This window comes from Homo sapiens, chromosome 11, assembly GCF_000001405.40.
Source record: "Homo sapiens chromosome 11, GRCh38.p14 Primary Assembly".
Taxonomy (NCBI): Eukaryota; Metazoa; Chordata; class Mammalia; order Primates; family Hominidae; genus Homo; species Homo sapiens.
This window is the reverse complement of record NC_000011.10, coordinates 89,813,096-89,832,812: the sequence shown is the minus strand read 5'-3', so window position 1 is coordinate 89,832,812 and position 19,717 is coordinate 89,813,096. Positions and strand designations below refer to the sequence as shown.

The 19,717-nt window shown below is 37.7% G+C and overlaps 1 pseudogene across 1 annotated transcript; it reads right to left on the bottom strand.

Moving 5' to 3' along the window:
• Nucleotides 1-6,313: 6,313 nt before the first annotated feature.
• Nucleotides 6,314-12,488, bottom strand: TRIM64GP (tripartite motif containing 64G, pseudogene; annotated as a pseudogene). Its single transcript, NR_169306.1, has 6 exons — nt 12,321-12,488; nt 11,787-11,882; nt 10,871-11,011; nt 10,151-10,173; nt 7,480-7,577; nt 6,314-6,372 (listed from the first exon to the last, which is right to left on the bottom strand). The product of NR_169306.1 is annotated as a tripartite motif containing 64G, pseudogene (transcript).
• Nucleotides 12,489-19,717: the final 7,229 nt, after the last annotated feature.

Genomic DNA, 19,717 nt, shown 5'->3' with positions numbered 1-19,717 from the left:
CCTCCCAAGTAGCTGGGACTGCAGGCACCCACCACCATGCCCGGCTAATTTTTGTATTTTTAGTAGAGATGGGTTTTTGCGGTATCAGCCAATCTGGTCTCGAACTCCTGACCTTAGGTAGTCCACCTGCTTCAGCCTCCCGAAGTGCTTGAATTAGAGGCGTGAGCCACCGTGCATGGCCTGCCTTTACTTTCAACGGTAAAAACCACAATTACTTATGCCCCACTCTAATAATTGCTTAAAATCAGTGACAAAAAATGAAAGAATAAAATAAAGGAAGGAAAAAGGAAGAAAGGGACCGAGGGAGGGAGGGTGGGAGGTAAAGGAAAACAGACATAATGTTCAGAAAAAAAGAAAAAAATGTCAATTAATTTTTTGTCAGGTATAGTGCAAGTGACTAGGAATGGAAAACATCCTTGAAGTAACAATAAAGAAAAATATTGTCAATCTGAGTTCTATACCGAAGGAAAATCTTTCCAAAACAATACATTTATTCAAAGAAAAATAAAGTCCTTATTCAGACGCAAAAAAGCTGAAAAAAATCAGACTCACATTGCAATACATACACACGAACACACAAGCACACACACACACACACACACACACACTGAAGAGCACCAGAAATTGTAATTGCATAGATAAATATGTAAGATTTTTAATTCACGCAACACTTTTTAAAACTAAGCCTTAGTTTCTAAGTCTTTGATTACCATTCATAGCATCCAAACTGCCCATAAAGTTCTGTGAACCTTTATCCTCTTCCTACTAGTAAGTGTAAAGAATAAAGTTTGTTTCTATTTGTGTCTATGTGCAACACTTCTTCCATTGCACAATATCAAAGATAAATAATATTAATATCCTGTGTCACTGCAAGTAGATTATGCAGATATACAAATAAGTAAGTATAACAATATAAGTTTTCTGTCTTAATATAGAAATATCCAAGACATTTCTGAGGGAGGTTATCTGGAGGAAGTCACTGAAACCCGGATCTTTTATATTGTCACTGTTTTGCTGGAAAAGGTCACTTGAATTGGTTACTATGGGATGCAATTAAATAACTAACTTTTGACAATCTAATGCATATTTACGGTAATGTACTCTTTGATTTTCCATCTTCTGAAATACTAATCAATTTAAGCATTTTCTCCAACGTTTAATGGTTCTCTTTACTTCCTCTTTAATAGAATAAATAGAATAAATAATCTGTTCATTCCTTGGACCATTTAAAATAGAATAATTTACATTTATGTTACTGAGGGGCAGGATTATTGAATGCATAGTTTTTGTATTTTATATAATAACATTATACAAAACACACATTTTGGCAATGCCTTCAAAAATATTTTCTGAAATAGAGGGGGTCTTGTGCCATGAGATTTAAAAAATATTCTTTCCTTACACTAGAGATGAATGCATCAGGTCACGTACCATTTTATAAATACAGAACCGATTGATTTGATTCCTTCTAATTGATTTGTTATAGAGACATTCCTGGAGAGAAAATGCATCTGATAATTATTCCATGATTAATTATATCTTTCAATTATCAACTATGTAGTATTGCTAATTTTAAAATGACATTGTGGACACAAATTTCCAACTCTGAACCTGACTCATATATTTTTACATTTATTCTTATGTTATCTTGCAGGTCAAACCATTTTTTGTGTTTGATTACCCATTAAAAGAATATTAGAAAAATAAGCTATCACTGTACAGAGGATATCAAGGAATCAGTACTTAAAATTTTATTTTTAATAGACACATAATTTTACATATTTGTAGGGTAGATAGTGATGTTTTGATACATATGATGCATAGTAATCAGATCAGAGTATTTAGCACATTGTCTCAAACATTTACCATTTCTTTTTTTTTAGGGAACCTGCAATATCCTCATTCTAGCTATTTGAAAGTATATATTACTGTTAATTATAATCATCTTGCAATGCTATAGACCGTTACAACTTATACCTCCCATCTACCTATAATTTTGTATTTTTAAATTGTATTTATTTTCTCTTTTAGTATTCATTATATTTAATTATATTTAATTTTGTACCTCTCCCTATACCCTCTGCCTTCTACCGTTCCTAGCCACTAGTATCCTCTGTTTTACTTTTTAATTCCATGAGATCACTTTTTTTTAGTTAAGCAAGTGGCTGGTTATGAGTATATGCAGATGTTGTTCATATTTATAGAGAGTACAATAGATTACGCAGTGTTTTGTTGAACTATATTCTCTCCCTTGTTATATTGAAAATATTGCCACAATATACGTAATATATATATATCCTTGTGCATTTTTATGGAAATTTCCATACTAATGATATTATAGGTTTAAAATATATGTACACTTAAAAATTGATAAGTACCTCTAAATGTTCCTCTCAAATAGTTTCTTTCTAAGGATAACTAATAGTCACTAACTGGCCAACAAATATCTTTGAAATTCTGAGATGATTGCATTAATTAGAATGAGTATCTGAATTAGGATTAGGTGGGATCTTAATGATAAAAATGTGGGAGTGTCTGTTATTAATTAGCACACGGATTTATTGAGGGATGTTGTTATTCACACCTTCAGAAGTCACATCCTTGACATATTGAAAGCAAGACCCACCAATTTCTTCAAACTCCAAAGTTAATGTCGCTTTACGATAATTTTCCCCTGCATTTTCCCCCCTACATATCAAATACCTAAGCCAATTTGTCTTGGAATCTGTAGGGTTTTTGTTTGCTTCTTTGCTTGTGTTTTACTTTTTTTTTTTTTTAATTATACTTTAAGTTCTGGGATACATGTGCAGAAAGTGCAGGTTTGTTGCATAGGTATACATGTGCCTTGGTGGTTTGCTGCACCCATCAACCTGTCATCTACATTAGGTATTTCACCTAACGCTATTCCTCCCCTATCCCCCAACCCCCAGATAGGCCCTGGTGTGTGATGTTCCCCTCCCTGTGACCATGTGTTCTCGTTGTTCAACCCCCACTTATGAGTGAGAACATGCGATGTTTGTTTTCCTGTTCTTGTGTTAGTTTGCTGAGAATGATGGTTTCAAGCTTCATCCATGTCTCTGCAAAGGACATGAACTCATCCTTTTTTTTTTTTTTTTTTTTTTGAAGGAGTCTGACTCTGTCGCCCAGGCTAGAGTGCAGTGGTGCAATCTTGGCTCACTGAAAACCCCGCCCCCGGGTTCACGACATTCTCCTGCCTCAGCCTCCCAAGTAGCTGGGACTACAGGTGACAGCCACCATGCCCAGCTAATTTTTTATTTTTTTGTATTTTTAGTAGAGACAGGGTTTCACCGTGTTAGCCAGGATGGTTTCCATTTCCTGACCTCGTGATCCACCTGCCTCGGCCTCCCAAAGTGCTGGGATTACAGGCGTGAGCCTGGCACCCAGCCAAACTCATCCTTTTTCATGGCTGCATAGTATTCCATGGTGTATATGTGCCACATTTTCCTTATCCAGCCTATCATTGATGGACATTTTGGTTGGTTCCAAGTCTTTGCTATGGTGAACAGTGCTGCAATAAACCTAAGTGTGCATGTGTCTTTATAGTAGAATGATTTATTGTCCTTTGAGTATATACCCAGTAGTGGGATTGCTGGGTCAAATGGTATTTCTGGTTCTAGATCCTTGAGGAATTGCCACAATTGTTTCCTGACTTTTTCATGATTGCCATCCTAACTGGCATGAGATGGTATCTCATTGTGGCTTTGATTTGCATCTACTGATCAATGATTATGACCTTTTTTTCATATGTTTGATGGCTGCATAAATGTCTTCCTTTGAGAAATGTATGGAATCTGTAATTTTTGCTTTTGTTTTCATTATTTTTTAATCTGTCTGGCATGCCAGTTCACATTCTCTGCTCCCTTCATCCCTCCTTCCTTCCCTCACTATGGCCTCTATTTCTTTCCTAATACCACCAACAGGTCATTCTTCAAAGTTTCACTTTTCAGGGAGAGTCCTGTAAAATAGTCTATTTACAAACTTTTAACCTGGGATGTATGACCTTGGTTCAATATTGTCTTTTGGAAATTCACAACAAATACCACTATTCTCCAAGTACAAGTTTCTGTATCCACAGCTAATTTCAACACCTACCACTCTATCCCAGCTTGCTCTGTCCAAACCTGGTAAAGTTCTTAATTTTCTGACCCCTCTTTTCTATCCAAATGAAAACAGATTCCGAAACTTTTGTAATAGGGGACTGAGGGATCTGGAGACTGCAAGACTGAAGGACCACAGATGTGCTGGAATCACCGCTGGCGTCGGGCTTCAAGAGAAGCACAAGGCTCATGCCTAGTCTCCAGAGGTTTTTATGTTTTCTGCCTGGCTTTCTTCTGAGCCTCCTGTCTCCTATGCTGCTGTGACCCTTCAATTTGGCTGTAGCCTTTACCACCACCTCTGGCTTTGGTTCCATCTTTTTTTCTAAAATTACGTTGATGCAAGAAGTTTTAAAGGATGGTTTTCACAGACTTTTTAAGAAAAGGGAAATTCGTTGAAAGCATTAAAGATTTACCTGCCTGCAGACTCTTAACAACACTTAGGAGTACACTATTTCTAGAGCCATATGAGTTAGCTTCCCAATAAGAGGGAAATATCCCAGAGGCAAGGATGGCTTCAGACAATTTAAACACAGCGTCTCTACTTATTTGCTTACGGAATCTGAAGGTTTCATTAACTCCAGATCTGACTCACAAGCTGTTTATCCTTTGCAAAGAATGGCACATAGTCAGGATGGACCAAATTTATCATGAAAGACAATGCACAATTACTGATCTTTTATTACCAAGACTCCCAATTTGAAGTTAACATTGAAGAAAACATAGATGATAATAAAATGACTTTGATAAACCAGTGGTTTTTCTGAATCCAGCATTTATGAGAATATTGAAGATAAGAATCAGCCGCGTTTGGTGGCTCACATTTGTCATGCCAGCACTTTGGGAGGCCGAGGCGGGCATATCACTTGAGATCAGGAGTTTGGGACCAGCCTGGCCAACATGGTGAAATCCTGTGGTCTCGATTAAAAATACAAAAATTAGCCAGGGGTTGCTGTAATCCCAGCAACTCAGGAGGCTGAGAATCGCTTGAACCCGGGAGGCGGAGGTTGCAGTGAGCCCATGTCAGGCATCTGTATTTCCAGCCTGGGGGATAGAGGGAGTCACCGTCTCAAAAAAATAAAATAAAATAAATAAATAAATAATCTATGCTAGAAGCAAAAAAAAAAAAAGAAGAAGAATTTGTTCAGCTAAAAATTATTTGCATCAAAACAAACTTCTTCAAAGCTTTTCCAGTCTAAGTTTACATTTTATGATGCTACTTTGGAAAGCATGCAAGGGCCATTGAAACGAAGAACTATAATTAAGCATATATGTCAGTAAGACAGTACAGTTTACTCTTATAACTAATATATTTTGCACATTTACAAAAATCTGCAATTTTTAGTAACTGATGATCCAGACCATATTTTGTATTATTTGCTTTGCATAAAGTGTCTACAATACACAAATCCACAAAGATCTAAAGTACAAAAGGGATTGTGAGTCGAGTGGGTGGGGAAGGCGCAATGAATAGAGAGTAATGATAAAGAGTTTTGGGTTTCATTTTGGGGTATATAAAATGTCCAGGAATCAGACAGTTATGGTTTTTCACAACTCTTTATTAAAGTAAAATTTAGGAAACAGATGTATAATGTCAATGTGGTTATCCCATTTCATACCCAGATAATAATTTTGTTTCCTCAAGTTACAGTGAGCTCAAAGATGCTCACACATTGTCCTATTGTCTCACATGAGAAGGTCTCGAGATTAGAAGATTTTTCAGGCAAGAGAGCTCACTAGGAAATCATAATGAAACCTGACTTTCATGGGGAACCAAAACAAAAGAAAGGTGTCAAAAGGGAAGACAAAGAGGAAGGGAAAAAGCTGTATATGAGGGAACCTTTTGAAACATCATAAAAGCTCACAACTGTGTTGTCATAATCCAGAAACATCCCAACCCGACCCAAAGGTCTTTGCACATAGTGAGTTAAGGGAAGAAAGATGTTGGAGAGGCTATAAAGGCTGTTTCTCTTTGAAGAAAATTGAAAAAATGCTTCCTCAAAAGCAGGAACATGATTTGTGTTTGCTGTCCTGGAATCTTTACAGACTCCTAGAATCCAGCTGGAGGACTGGGTTACATCCACTTCCCAGTAATGCCTGCCAGAGGAGAAGGCCTGAGCTCCCCATGCTGCAAAGTTCTCTGCTCTCTGGGACTCCCCGGGTGCACCATCATGGTCATCTCCAAATACCACATTTCTCACATCCTCAGAAAGGCTCATATAGTGACTCGTCTTTTCCTTACTCAGAGGATCATCCACTGCAAGAAGAACAAAAATCAGATCAAGGAGTTACGTGGGGGTCAGATGTTATCTGCCCAGGTACTGGCTTTATTTGTACCTCCTGTAAGTGACAGACAGAATACATGGAGCAAAAAGACTTTGGAGACTGTCATCTACGAAGATCAAGGGTTATTATGACTTCTACAGCACAGGAGAATCCTTAAAATCACACAGAAAAACAAATAAACAAACATATCATTAATTGTGTGAATCAATGATTTAATGTCTGGCTTTGCACGATTCGTTTCAAGAGATATGTAACATTCTTTATTTATTTAGTAGAAAATGCCACTTGCATTGTTTGTATTCAATATAATTAACAAATAGACTTCACTCTGCTATGATGCTCTTGTCTAGTGGGATATAAAATGTGCCTGTTACTTTTGTTTTGTTTTGTTTTGAGACAGAGTCTCACTCTGCTGCCCAGGCTGGAGTGCAGTGGTGCGATCTCGGCTCACTGCAGCCTCCTGGGTTCAAGCGATTCTGCTTCCTCAGCCTCCCGAGTAGCTGGGATTACAGGCATGTGCCACCATGCCCAGATCATTTTTGTATTTTTAGTATAGATGGGGTTTTGCCATGTTGGCCAGGCTGGTTTCCAGCCGTTGACCTCAGGTGATATGCCCGCCTCAGCCTTGGAGGATTACAGGCATGAGCCACTGTGCCCGGCCTCACCTCCTCCATGTTTAAACATCAGAATTTGATGGACTTCCATACATGTGCAGTTTAGAAGTTTCTGAAAATAATGATCATGTTCTGCTTTTACGTGACCTGGTCAGCCACTGCTTCATTCAGTCTAATCCCGGTTTTAGCCCTCTGTTGTCTAATGGCTGCCTTACATGTTTGGGCCATTTTCACAGAACCCTCAGCTTCCAGTTGTTGTGAAATGTATCTTACAGCAGTAAAGTTGTTCTGTTTATGGAAGTTTTAGTTATTTGGTTGGTCAACGCTTTCTAATTTTTATGATAAATATTATTTCTACAATATATGATAAATTCACAGAAATTAAAACTAAAATGGGAAACGGCTCAACCAAGGAATCCACTAAACAGAAGTTGAGGCTGTACTGCCAAGCAGCTGGCTCTTACCTCTGAATTTGTTGAGCATATCTAGCACTCCGGTGATGTGCCAGGAAGTGAGTTCTGGGTTCACTGGCTGGGGCTTTTCCATTTGCACCAAATCTGTCCTGCAAAGAACAACCTCAGTTACACTTTTAGGCCCAGGGATAATCACACAGTCATACAAATGTTTCAGATTTTCATCCAAGATATTTCTGGAGAAATCTCCCTTTTTTGTTAAATTCAGTATACATTTTATTCAACTGTATTGAGGATATAGCAATGTTACTTTTATCTAAATTTAACATGTTAAAGTCCAATTTCTCTATTCTCTCATACATGATCCTAATTTAAAATTACTGAGTGTCATTTCCTCCCTCTCCCCCTCCGGCCTCTTCAAAGTATACAGATATCCTGGGATTCTTGCTGAGAGAAGAAAACTCAGCCAAAGCCTTTGGGACCTCAGTCGGTAGTTGTCACCAGTGATGCAGTCAGGGTCTTACAGGGAATGCCCACTGACACTAAAGGTTTTGAACTTTTGTTCAAACCAAAGGAGTCTATTTTCAGCCTGTCAGCTCTGGCGCTGAGGATCCTGAGGCAGCCATTCCCCTCTTAGATTCTACCTACAACAGGGCAGTGCAGAGATGGAGCAGGGCCTGGCTATTGATATCCCTGGGAACAAATCCTCCCTCCCTTTCCTGTCCTTAGGGCATTTCCCTCTCTTTTTCACCTCTCGCCTCTGCCTCTCCAGAATAGGAGACTCCTTTGTGATAACTCAGAGTAATCTTCTTAAGATTTGCTGGGTTGAACTAGTTTACAGTCCTACCAACAGTGTAAAAGTGTTCCTGTTTCTCCACATCCTCTCCAGCACCTGTTGTTTCCTGACTTTTTAATGATTGCCATTCCAACTGGTGTGAGATGGTATCTCATTGTGGTTTTGATTTGCATTTCTCTGATGGCCAGTGATGATGAGCATTTTTTCATGTGTTTTTTGGCTGCATAAATGTCTTCTTTTGAGAAGTGTCTGTTCATGTCCTTTGCCCACTTTTTGATGGGGTTGTTTGTTTTTTTCTTGTAAATTTGTTTGAGTTCATTGTAGATTCTGGATATTAGCCCTTTGTCAGATGAGTAGGTTGCAAAAATTTTCTCCCATTTTGTAGGTTGCCTGTTCACTCTGATGGTAGTTTCTTTTGCTGTGCAGAAGCTCTTTAGTTTAATTAGATCCCATTTGTCAATTTTGGCTTTTGTTGCCATTGCTTTTGGTGGTTTAGACATGAAGTCCTTGCCCATGCCTATGTCCTGAATGGTAATGCCTAGGTTTTCTTCTAGGGTTTTTATGGTTTTAGGTCTAACGTTTAAGTCTTTAGTCCATCTTGAATTGATTTTTGTATAAGATGTAAGGAAGGGATCCAGTTTCAGCTTTCTACATATGGCTAGCCAGTTTTCCCAGCACCATTTATTAAACAGGGAATCCTTTCCCCATTGCTTGTTTTTCTCAGGTTTGTCAAAGATCAGATAGTTGTAGACATGCGGCGATATTTCTGAGGGCTCTGTTCTGTTCCATTGATCTATATCTCTGTTTTGGTACCAGTACCATGCTGCTTTGGTTACTGTAGCCTTGTAGTATAGTTTGAAGTCAGGTAGTGTGATGCCTCCAAAAACCAAACACCGCATATTCTCACTCATAGGTGGGAATTGAACAATGAGATCACATGGACACAGGAAGGGGAATATCACACTCTGGGGACTGTGGTGGGGTGGGGGGAGGGGGGAGGGATAGCATTGGGAGATATACCTAATGCTAGATGACGAGTTAGTGGGTGCAGTGCACCAGCATGGCACATGTATACATATGTAACTAACCTGCACAATGTGCACATGTGCCCTAAAACTTAAAGTATAATAAAAAAAAATAGAAAAAAAAAAAAAAGATTTGCTGGGGCAGGGCTGGAGAAGATGGGGTGGGTGGGTAGAAGAAAATCCAGAATGGCACACTGTTTTTCGATACATATTCATTCAGCCAGATAAGAAGGAAACTTCTGAGACAAAGAAGCTTAAGTTCTCAGGTTCTCCTTTGAAACCAAAATGGAACATAGCCACAGATTAATGCTAAATACCTCAAAACATGTAGTTGACCCTTAAGCGACAAGGGTTTGAAATTTGGGGGTCCACTTATAAGTGGATTTTTTTCAATGAAAGTTTCACCTAGCTTGCCTGCCTCTCCTGCCTCCCACTCCATTTCTTTTATTTCTGCCTCTGCCACTGCTGAGACACTGTCTTCTCTTCCTCCTCCTCTTCAGCCTACTCAATGTGAAGACAATGAAGATGAAGACCCTTATGGTGATCAACTTCTTAATGAGTAATAAATTTATTTTCTCTTCCTTACAATTTTCTCAATTATATTTTTTCTCCAGCTTACTTTATTGTTAGGATACAGCATATAATACGTATAACATACAATATATGTTAATTGACTGTTTATGGTATCAACAGGCTTCCAGTCAATAAGAGGTCATTCGTAGTTTGGTTTTGGAAAAGTCAGAAGTTATACTTGGGTTTTCAACTATGTGGAATTGCATGAAGGTGGTTAGTGAACCTAATCCCCACCTTTTTCAATGGTACATTGACTTTCAAGGGTACATTGACTTTATCAATAAGGGAATGACTTTCTCAGCAATCAAAGTCCATTAGTGTAACTCACCATTCCAGTATGTTTTCCAAGTCCTGCAAAGAAAAACACAAGTACTTAATCATGAGAATTCTGTCCTACTTTCCCTAGTATTCTTTGTTGTTTTTCTGGGTTAACAAGGTAGGTTTATTGATACATCTCTAAGGCACCATCCAAGGCTGTGTTAATAACAGAACCTCAGCTGAACCATGGTGGTCTTCCTCAGTGGGCATTAGGAATGAAGGAGCTGAGAATAAGACTGTGGAGTGATGTACACAGCTATCTAGTTCTCAGTGTCACTCATCTCCCAGGCTTAATCCCAAGAAGTGAGGACGTACTAGGGAACTTAAATTGAGTTTTATTAACAAAGCTAATATTCTCCTGGCCTAGCATTTGGTTGATTTTGGATAACATTTCTTTGTGGCTAGTACTTCTGATTATACTGAAGAGGATTTTGTCCTATGTGATCTACCAAAATGGCAAAAATCTCCCAAAGATTACCAGAATATGCAAAAATAAGTCACTGGACAAACGTAATGACAGAGTCAAGGAGCATGTGTCACTTTCTAAGAGTAGTTACATTTGCAGGTAGCATATGAATGTCCTGGCAGCATTGCCCAACAAAGTCTTCCTGACTCTGGATGATGGACCCTCCCTCCTCATCTGGAGCAGCTTCACATCCGGCATGTGGCGCATCTCCCACAGCTCTCTGTACATGCCTTTCGTCTTTTTTATATGTTGGGTTATTCTTACTTCACCGTCTTGGAGTTGTCGAACAATCTCTTCTGCTTCTCTGTCCATTGTCTCCAGATGGCGTTGCTCCTCCTCCAGGAGAAATTGGCGCAACTTCTGATATTGTTATCTGATCATCCCTTTCCTGGGGGCCACATAGTCCTGCAGAGATACTCAGTTAAAAGAATTGCATCTCCTCACTCTCAACAAAACACTTAACACTTCAACTGTTATTCTCCTAGGATATGCAAGCAGTAAACTCCTAAGCTCTGTGTCTCATACTTGAAAAGGTTCTTGAAGATTTGCTAGTCTCCTCTACCCATCCTTTCTTCATGTTCCTCCTAGTCTCCCTTCCTGTATAAATCAGTACCTCAAAAGGACTCAAGATCCCTGCCTGTGATGCTTCTACAGGATTCTTACTTCATTAATTATTGTCTTTTTTACCTGGTTCTTCTTAATTTTCTCTTGTTCCTTTGCCTGATTCTTCTAAACATTTTTAAATATTTCAGTATACGCTCTACCACTGAGTTTTTAAAGAAATTACTTCAGGTTTTGTTTTCCCCACTAATTTCTCTATTTCTCTCCTCACCTTCACAGCAAAACTTTAAACTACTTGATGTGAATACAACGCTTTAAACAGTTCAATGCTATCCCATTCTCAGTGCCTTGGAAGTTTTATCTAAACCCTCAAGGTTACATCAGGAATAACTATCATGCCCTGTTTATTTCATATACATGTACATACTAGTATTTTTTGCACCAGCTCCTGTTGGCCTGTATAATGATAATTGCTGATATATCATTTGAAACCACTGTTTTGTTTTTTTCTGGGAAGAGGACACTACTATTTTTTAACTGGTAAGCAGAATTCAGCTAAGAAGTCTAAGTTAGCATTGTGCCAATCTACATTAAAAATATAAAACCTTTTTATCCCTACCGTTAATGAATGGATTTTGCTAATTTCCTGATTTAGATTGTTTTGCATTTCTTGAGTGCTCCTCCATAAATGATCCATTTTCTTCAGAAGTTTCTCCTGCAAAATAGACATGACCTTTAGTAGCAGATACGACGTTACTGGATATGTTATTCCCTTTTTATGAGAAAAGCCTGTTGTTGAGAGAATGGTAAATTTGAGTCCCCCTGAAGTGGTCAGAGTTTTTACAAGTTAACCTAATTTGATTTTAATATTTGGAATATAAGAGGTAACAGAAACATATAATAGAGAGTTTGAGGAGACCCAACAGCTAATCAATTTTTTAAGAAATTGGATTTCATATATCCTGGCTCTGGGGAAGTCAAGCTTGCAGCAAAAACAAACCGTGTTCCTAGGACACATTTATATCTAGAGATTTATATTGAAAATTCAGAACCTCACCATCTCCATTCTCTCCACCTTTATTATCATAAGCTCTCATTTTCTCTCTCATTTAGGATCATGTGGATTCCCGGTTGCATTGGAGGTGTCACTTACCCTGCACTCCTCAGCAGCCCATCCTATTGGGCTGTGGCCATAAGCCTCATGCTCTTGTGACTCAGAGCAGGGCCCACAGAGGAGTCTCTCCTCTGCCTCACAGAAGAGCCCCTTTTCCTCTTCATGTAGCACACAGATCTGCTTCTCTGAGCTGTTGATGTTGTGAGGTCTGCGCTGCCTTGCAAGAGAAGCCAACTTCTTGAGAACAATATTGGTGTTGAAGTCAGTCTTCTGGGGGATTTTCCCACACACAGGACAGCCCTTTGGAGCTTGGCCTTCCTCCCAGCGCAGACAAAGGCAGGGCCTGCAAAAGCTATGCCCACAGTCAATGGTGACTGTGTCCGTTAAGTAGTTCCTGCAGATAAAGCAACAGAGCTCCCTCTGGAAGGTTTGCAGTGTGTCTGAATCCATGTTTCTGGAAATTTAAAACAGAAAAATTTAAGTGAGAAAATTATTTTTTGACCACATGGAGGGGGAAGGGCCTGTAGCTAGTTCTTCTTGTCTGCTTCAGCTCTGTTCAATCTACCCGTTAACTTAAGCCCAGTACAGACCTAGATGTGGTAAATACAGGCAAGCTAGGTTTATACTATAACACAAGTGGAAAAATGAGACAAGCATCATTTTAGTTTAAAACAAACAATGTTCTCAATTATAAGTTATTTGGGCAAGCTTAATATTGGGGTAGAGGGGAACAATTAGGATAACTTCACAGTTACTTCTATTAGCTGATTGTTCCAGAAACCCATATAAACCCATCTCTCTCTCTCTCTCTTTCTTTTCCTCCATGACCCCTTGAGTGGAACTTATACAGGGATACTTAGTCTCACTCTCTGGCACCCAAGTAGCAGATGTACTTTTCTAAAGACAATTAAAATTTGGTTAAGTTTAATCTAAGTGTCTTTAGTTTAATCATTGTGGGCTTCAACACTCAACTCCTGTAACTATAAACAGCTGAACTTATGCTTCTAATTTTAATCCCAAAATTCAACCTTTACATAAATACAACGAAAAATTGTTATTTCTTATTCAAGACAATGTTTTTGCTCAGAATGAGTTCAGACCATCAGAGTATCTTCATATTTTGAAATGGTGACTACGCAAGCTATGAAAGTACTCAGCAACAATTAATCAATTTTTACTTAAACCAAAAAAGAAAGTAAACACTCGAATTTTTTCTTTAAAGAATCCAGAGATGTAGTTAATGGAAGCATGACCACCAATTTATCTTTATTCCCTGTGTTTCTCCACAGTGATCAAAGTCCCTACTTCCTGGGAGTCTTTACCAGTTGATGGGATCTATTTGAACACTTTTCAAATCCAGTCTGCTCATTGAAGATTTGAAAAGGACTACAAACATGACCTTTACAACAAGGGTTTTCCAATTAATCCTACACATTTAACACTTACACTGATGACATGTAGTATACTACAAAGCTACAGTAAGCAAAGCAGCATGGTACTGGTGTCAAAATAGACAAGTAAACCAGCGGAACAGATCAGAGAACCCAGAAACTGTTACACCTCTCTACAGCCAACTGAATTTTGACAAAGGTAGCAACAGTATTTACCGGGGAAAGGACAGTCTTTTCAATCAACACTGCTGGCAAAACGGGATATTTACATGCAGGGAATAAAATTATACCCTCACCTCTCATCCTATGCCAAAATCAACTCAAAATAGATTGAAAACTTTAATGTAAAACCTGAAAGAACAAATCTACTGGAAGAAAACATAGGAGAAATGCTCCAGAACATTAATCAGAGAAAAAATTGTATGAATAAAATCACAAAAGCCTAGTCCACAAAACCAAAAATCAACAACTGGAATTATATTAAACTGCAAAGCTTCTGCACAGCAAAGGAAACAATCAATGGAGTGAAAAGACAACTGACAGAATGAGAAAAAATATTTACCAACTATTCACTGGACAGGAGATTGATACCCTGACTATACAAGGAAATCAAATAACTCAATAACAAATTAAAAAGAAAAAAAAACCCAAACAACCCAATTAAAAAATGGGCAAATGATCTGAACAGACAATTAACATATGCCAATTTACAAAATAAAATTGAAGTGGAAAAAGACTATTCCGTATATGTAACATATTGAAAATTGTAAGCTCTTTTTGGATTCCATAATTACACAAATAAGGTGGAAATATAGCTGCTAAGACATAACATGCCAAATAATGCATAAGGTAATATAATACAAAATGGGGGCTAGGCATAGCCTAGCCTCTAGGCTCTAATCCTGGCATTGAGGAGGCCAAGGTATGAGGATGGATTCAGGTCAGCAGTTCTAGACCAGCCTGCGCATCTTATTGACATCTTATCTCTACCAAAAATTCTTTTAAAAATAATGCTGGCGTGACGGCACATGCTTGTAGTCTCAGCTACTCAGGAGACTGTGGCGGCAGGATTGCTTGAGCCCAGGAGGTCCAAGATGCAGTGAGCCATGATAGTGCCATTTCAGTCCAGCCTAGGTGACAGAGTGAGACCCTATCACAAAAAAAAAAAAAAACCCAGTCAAATAACTTGATATAACACAAACCAGTATATTATAAATGCTCTAATTACAGATATTTTAAATAATGATGTTACTTCAAATAACTGGGTAAGCTACTTGTTTGCTTAGACAAGATGTAAATGTCCTGGCCGGTGAGTTTAAAGTATTTTTATCAGAAAAATTAAGCATGAAGGGCTTCACTACAAATGTCATACACACCAGAATCTGCGATGTATTGTCTCAAGTCTAGAAGATTCGTGGATATCCAGGTCAGCAGCAACACTGAGCTCACCAAAGCCCAGCCTCCACGAATTCAGTCTGACTTCTCTGGAGAAGTCTTCCCTGGACAACTCTGCTTTTTAAGTGATTAGACTCACCTAAGAACACTCTCACTTCCTGGGATTGGCTACTGTCTGGAGAAAGAAGTGGAAATGGAAGATTAGGTTACACAGAAGGGTGTAACATTGGGGAAGGGTGTAACATGGGGTGATCAGATTTATAAAGTACAGACAATCATGCCTAGGGGATTATAGCCCAACAGAAGGTAGAGGATTTTGGAGTGAGATGCAAGAATCTTAACCTGACATAGGTTGTTCACAGACATTACAACTGAAACAATTATTTCATTAAGTAATGTTTTGTTTCACAAACAATGCCCTCACAATTAAAAACAATTGCTTTATTATTTTAAACTGAAATGTATCATCTATATTTCCATTAAAGATTTTTTATTTATTCTTCAACAAGCATATACTAATGACAATAAACTAGGTATTAGAAATAAATTATATTAAACTATAATAGACAATTTCAGTCCTGCTAGAACATCCAGACTAGTGAATGAGATGTATCATAATTAAAGAATCACACAAGTAAATATACAATTAGAACTATAAGCTCAATAAATGAGCAGTACATGTTTTCAGGGTCAGTAGTAGGAGGGAGGTGCTGAATGCCAGCTTATGCCAGGCTTTTATGAAGATATGAAAGCATTGAGATTTGAGGAATAGGAATACATTAACTTGGCAAAGAGAGATAGAGAGAAACTTTCTTTGCAGTGACAGCAGCAGACGCAAAAGCTTCCTGGATGGAGGAAGCCTGGTACAGTTGAGCTCCAGGCCACTGGAGCTAGAGTGACAAGAATGAGAGTGGTCTGATGGGAGATGAGGCTGCAGAGGCAGGTACGGGCATCAGAACATGGAAAAGATGAGTTTGCTATCTAGAAATTATGGGAAGCCAGTGAAGTGTCAGTCTAGTTTTAAAATATATCATTGTTAAATAAGTCTCCAGTCATTATTTATCTGAATATGTACAACTCTAAAATATTAAATGAAATAACTAACCCATCTATGGAGCTCTCATAAAAAAGTGCACCTAGGCACTTAGTTGTATTTTAAATACTATGACTCTATATACAACAGTTGGTGAATTTACTTGTCTAATTTTTTTGTTGTCTTCCCTATTTTATGACTATTTTCAAAGGTGAATTTATGCAAAAATAAAATGTGTTTTTTTGATTTTACGCCATGGTGAATAATTTTAAATTAGATACTTTACATCAGTATATATGTATGGACATGTAGAAGATGTACAGCATGTATATTTATATCAAAATATGATGCAATGTCATAAATAATTATTTAAACAATAATTATGTGTATAATTATCTTTAACAAAGTACATACAGAAAACTAATTTTGAATAGAGTTCAGTGACTCCTGTCTGTAATTCCAGCTAGTTGGACAGCTGGGCAAAAGGGTCACTTGACTCTAGGAATTCCAGGTTTCCCCAGGCAACATAGGGTGACACCTGTCTCTAAAAATAAATGTTTTTACCCAGGCCTGGAAGCAAGCACATGTAGTTCCAGCTAATCAGGAGGACCAGGCAGGAGGATCACTTGAGCCTAGGTGTTTGAGGCTGCAATGAGCTATGATCATGCACTGCACTTTGGTCTGAGTGACAGAGGGAGAACTTGTCTAAATAAAGGAAAGAAAAAAATGAAAGAAAAACAAAGTTATAAGTTAGAAAGTGTTGCTTTTTCTTTGTTCTCTAGAAGAATTTGTCTAAAAGTGTGTTATTTCTTTCTAAAATGCTTTGAAAATTTCGCTGAAAGAGATCACTGGAGTTTTCTTTGTGAGTTTTGTTTTTTAAATAATACACGGAATTTTAAGAATCCAAATCATATCTTTCATTTTTCTATGTTCTCCTCCGTCTGTTTTAGTCAGCTGTGTTTTTCAAGAAATTTTCTCATGTCATCAAAATTGTCAGATGTATAGGTATAAATTGTTCCTAAAATATTCATGCTGGCTTATTGATATCTGGATGACCATGAGTTTGCCTGTTTATTCTTGATTTGAACTCCCCCTCTCCATTGTTTAAATGAATCTCATTGGGAATTTATTAATTTAATTTATCTATTTAAGGAGCCTACTTTTGAATTTGTTGATTTATCTTTTGCATGCTTTTTAATCAATTTTCTGCAATTTCTCTAATTTTTTTTTAGTTTTTTAATGGGAATTTGCTTTAATTTTCTGGCTGTTTGCGACAGACCTTTCTTTGTTAATAACAGATGCATTTAATGATATACATTGTTTTGTAAGCATTGTCTTAAATACATTTCAAAAGTTTTTTTGTTTTGTATTTTGAATATTATTTAATAAAACATACTTTCTTCGTTTTTCTTTAGTGCATGTATTTTCAGGGAAACTATAACGGAGAGGGGAGGGAATGCATTTTTCTAATGATATCTGAAACAATTAGAAACCATTGAAATTAATTTTAATAAAACATTATAACCCAATATATCCAAAATGTTTTCAACATAATAAACATTACAAATATTAGTGAGATATTTTATATATATTTTTTTTGAGACAGGGTCTGGCTTTGTCACCCAGGCTGGAGTGCAGTTGCTGGATCCTGTCTAGCTGCAGTGTCAACCCCCCTGGCTATAGCAATCTTCCCACCTCAGCTTCCCCAGTACCAGGGACTACAGGTTCATCCCACCATGCTCCGCTAATTTTAATTTTTTTGGAGAGACGAGTTTTCGCAATGTTGCCTAGGCTTTTCTCAAACTCCTTTCCTGTGTCCACCTCTCAATGTGATGCGATGACACGCTTGAACAACAATGTTCATACATTTTAGGAAGAAAGTCCTAAGCCTACTTAAGTTCTTTTAGAAAGGATGGATTGGAATTTACTTTCTCTAAACTCAATAGTTTCTAGAACTATAAATTAGAGTCAAGTATTAAAGGCCCCAGGAAGACAATTTTAGAAGAAAAGTTTTCAAAGTGAGCCAGGCTAGATGCTTTATAATTGAGCATTCACTGGATATGTCTTGGCATCCTAATGGCCAACGCTGAGGTTTTTTATTTTTTTTAATAATGTGGAAGACTGAACTTTGTTACATGTACATTGTGTAGAATTTCCAAAGTTAGAAACTTTTCTTAAAACACTTCACTACATTCCTTTTATTTACGTATTTTTTAAAAAATTTACACTATGCATGGATACATCCTTAATAGAAGATTAGGATTCTGCAGTTTCAAAGGCAAAACCTAATCCTTTCGATTGGCTCTATTTAATTGTATAATTGCTTTATCGATTAAAATTTTAAAAAAACTTCTACAAATACATTCCAATGTTAGATAACTAAATCAGTTGTCTGATGTCATTATACAATGTCACTCCCAGACGGGAGTGAAGTGGCAGGATCTCGGCTCACTGCAACCTCCACCCCAGGGGTTCAAGCAAATCTTCTGCTGGGATTACAGGTGCCTGCCACCATGCCCAGCTAATTTTTGTATTTTTAGTAGAGAGGGCTGGTCTCGAACTCCTGACCTCAGATAATCCACCCGCCTTGGCCTCCCAAAGTGCTGGGATTACAGGCATGAGCTGCCACAGCGGCCTGATGTTACCTTTTTAAGTCCACATAAAGTGACTTTATAATTATCTTTTAATGACTCCTTATTAAAACCTAAAATATATGAAGAACTATTTTGTTTTCTGCTTTTATCTACAATACTAGATTTTCCATGATTTTTAAAGAGTAGAAGACTTTATTTATTTATTTATTTATTTATTTATTTATTTTGAAATGTAGTCTCACTCTGTTGCCCAGGCTGAATCGCAGTGGCACTGTCTAAGTTCACTGCATCCTCTGCCTCCCTGGTTCGGGTGATTCTCCTGCCACAGCCTCCTGAGTAGCTGGGACTACAGGTCCGTGCAACTATGCCAGCCTAATTTTTGTATTTTTATTAGATATAGGGTTTTGCCATGTTGATCAGACTTGTCTTGAACTCCTGACCTCAAGGGATCCACCCACCTCGGCTTCCCAGAGTGTTGGGACTGAGCCACCACGCCCAGGCTGGATTGGTTTTTAAGAACTTGATTTATACATGTTTAGTTTTAAAGAATGGCTTTTTGTGTTTTTAAACTTTTTAAAGTTAAAAACATTTCACAAGAAACTGGTGAACTTAAATGACATTGAAGATAATTTACTATCACTTAACAGAGGGGTCACCTTTGGAGAATGGGTTATGTACGGGTATAAAATTGAAAAATAGATTTGTATCCTGAGATTAATATTCTGAAGCTCTATCTCTGGTGACTTAGAGAAATTCTCAAATCACCAAACACAATAAATAAACGAATATAAAATATAGTGGCTCTTTCACTTCTCTAAAGCATTTTCTAAACTCCCAGAATTATGAAAAACATGGAAGATTCAAATATTTTGCTGAAATGGGTCAGAATGGGAGGTATCCACTTAGCCTATAGGTGCTTTCAACTCTGACTCAGCAAATTATAGGTATTAACTTTCTCTGTGGCCTACTCCTCACACCCTCCTAACCCATTCTTGCTCAATATTCTTCTTAAATCTGCATCTA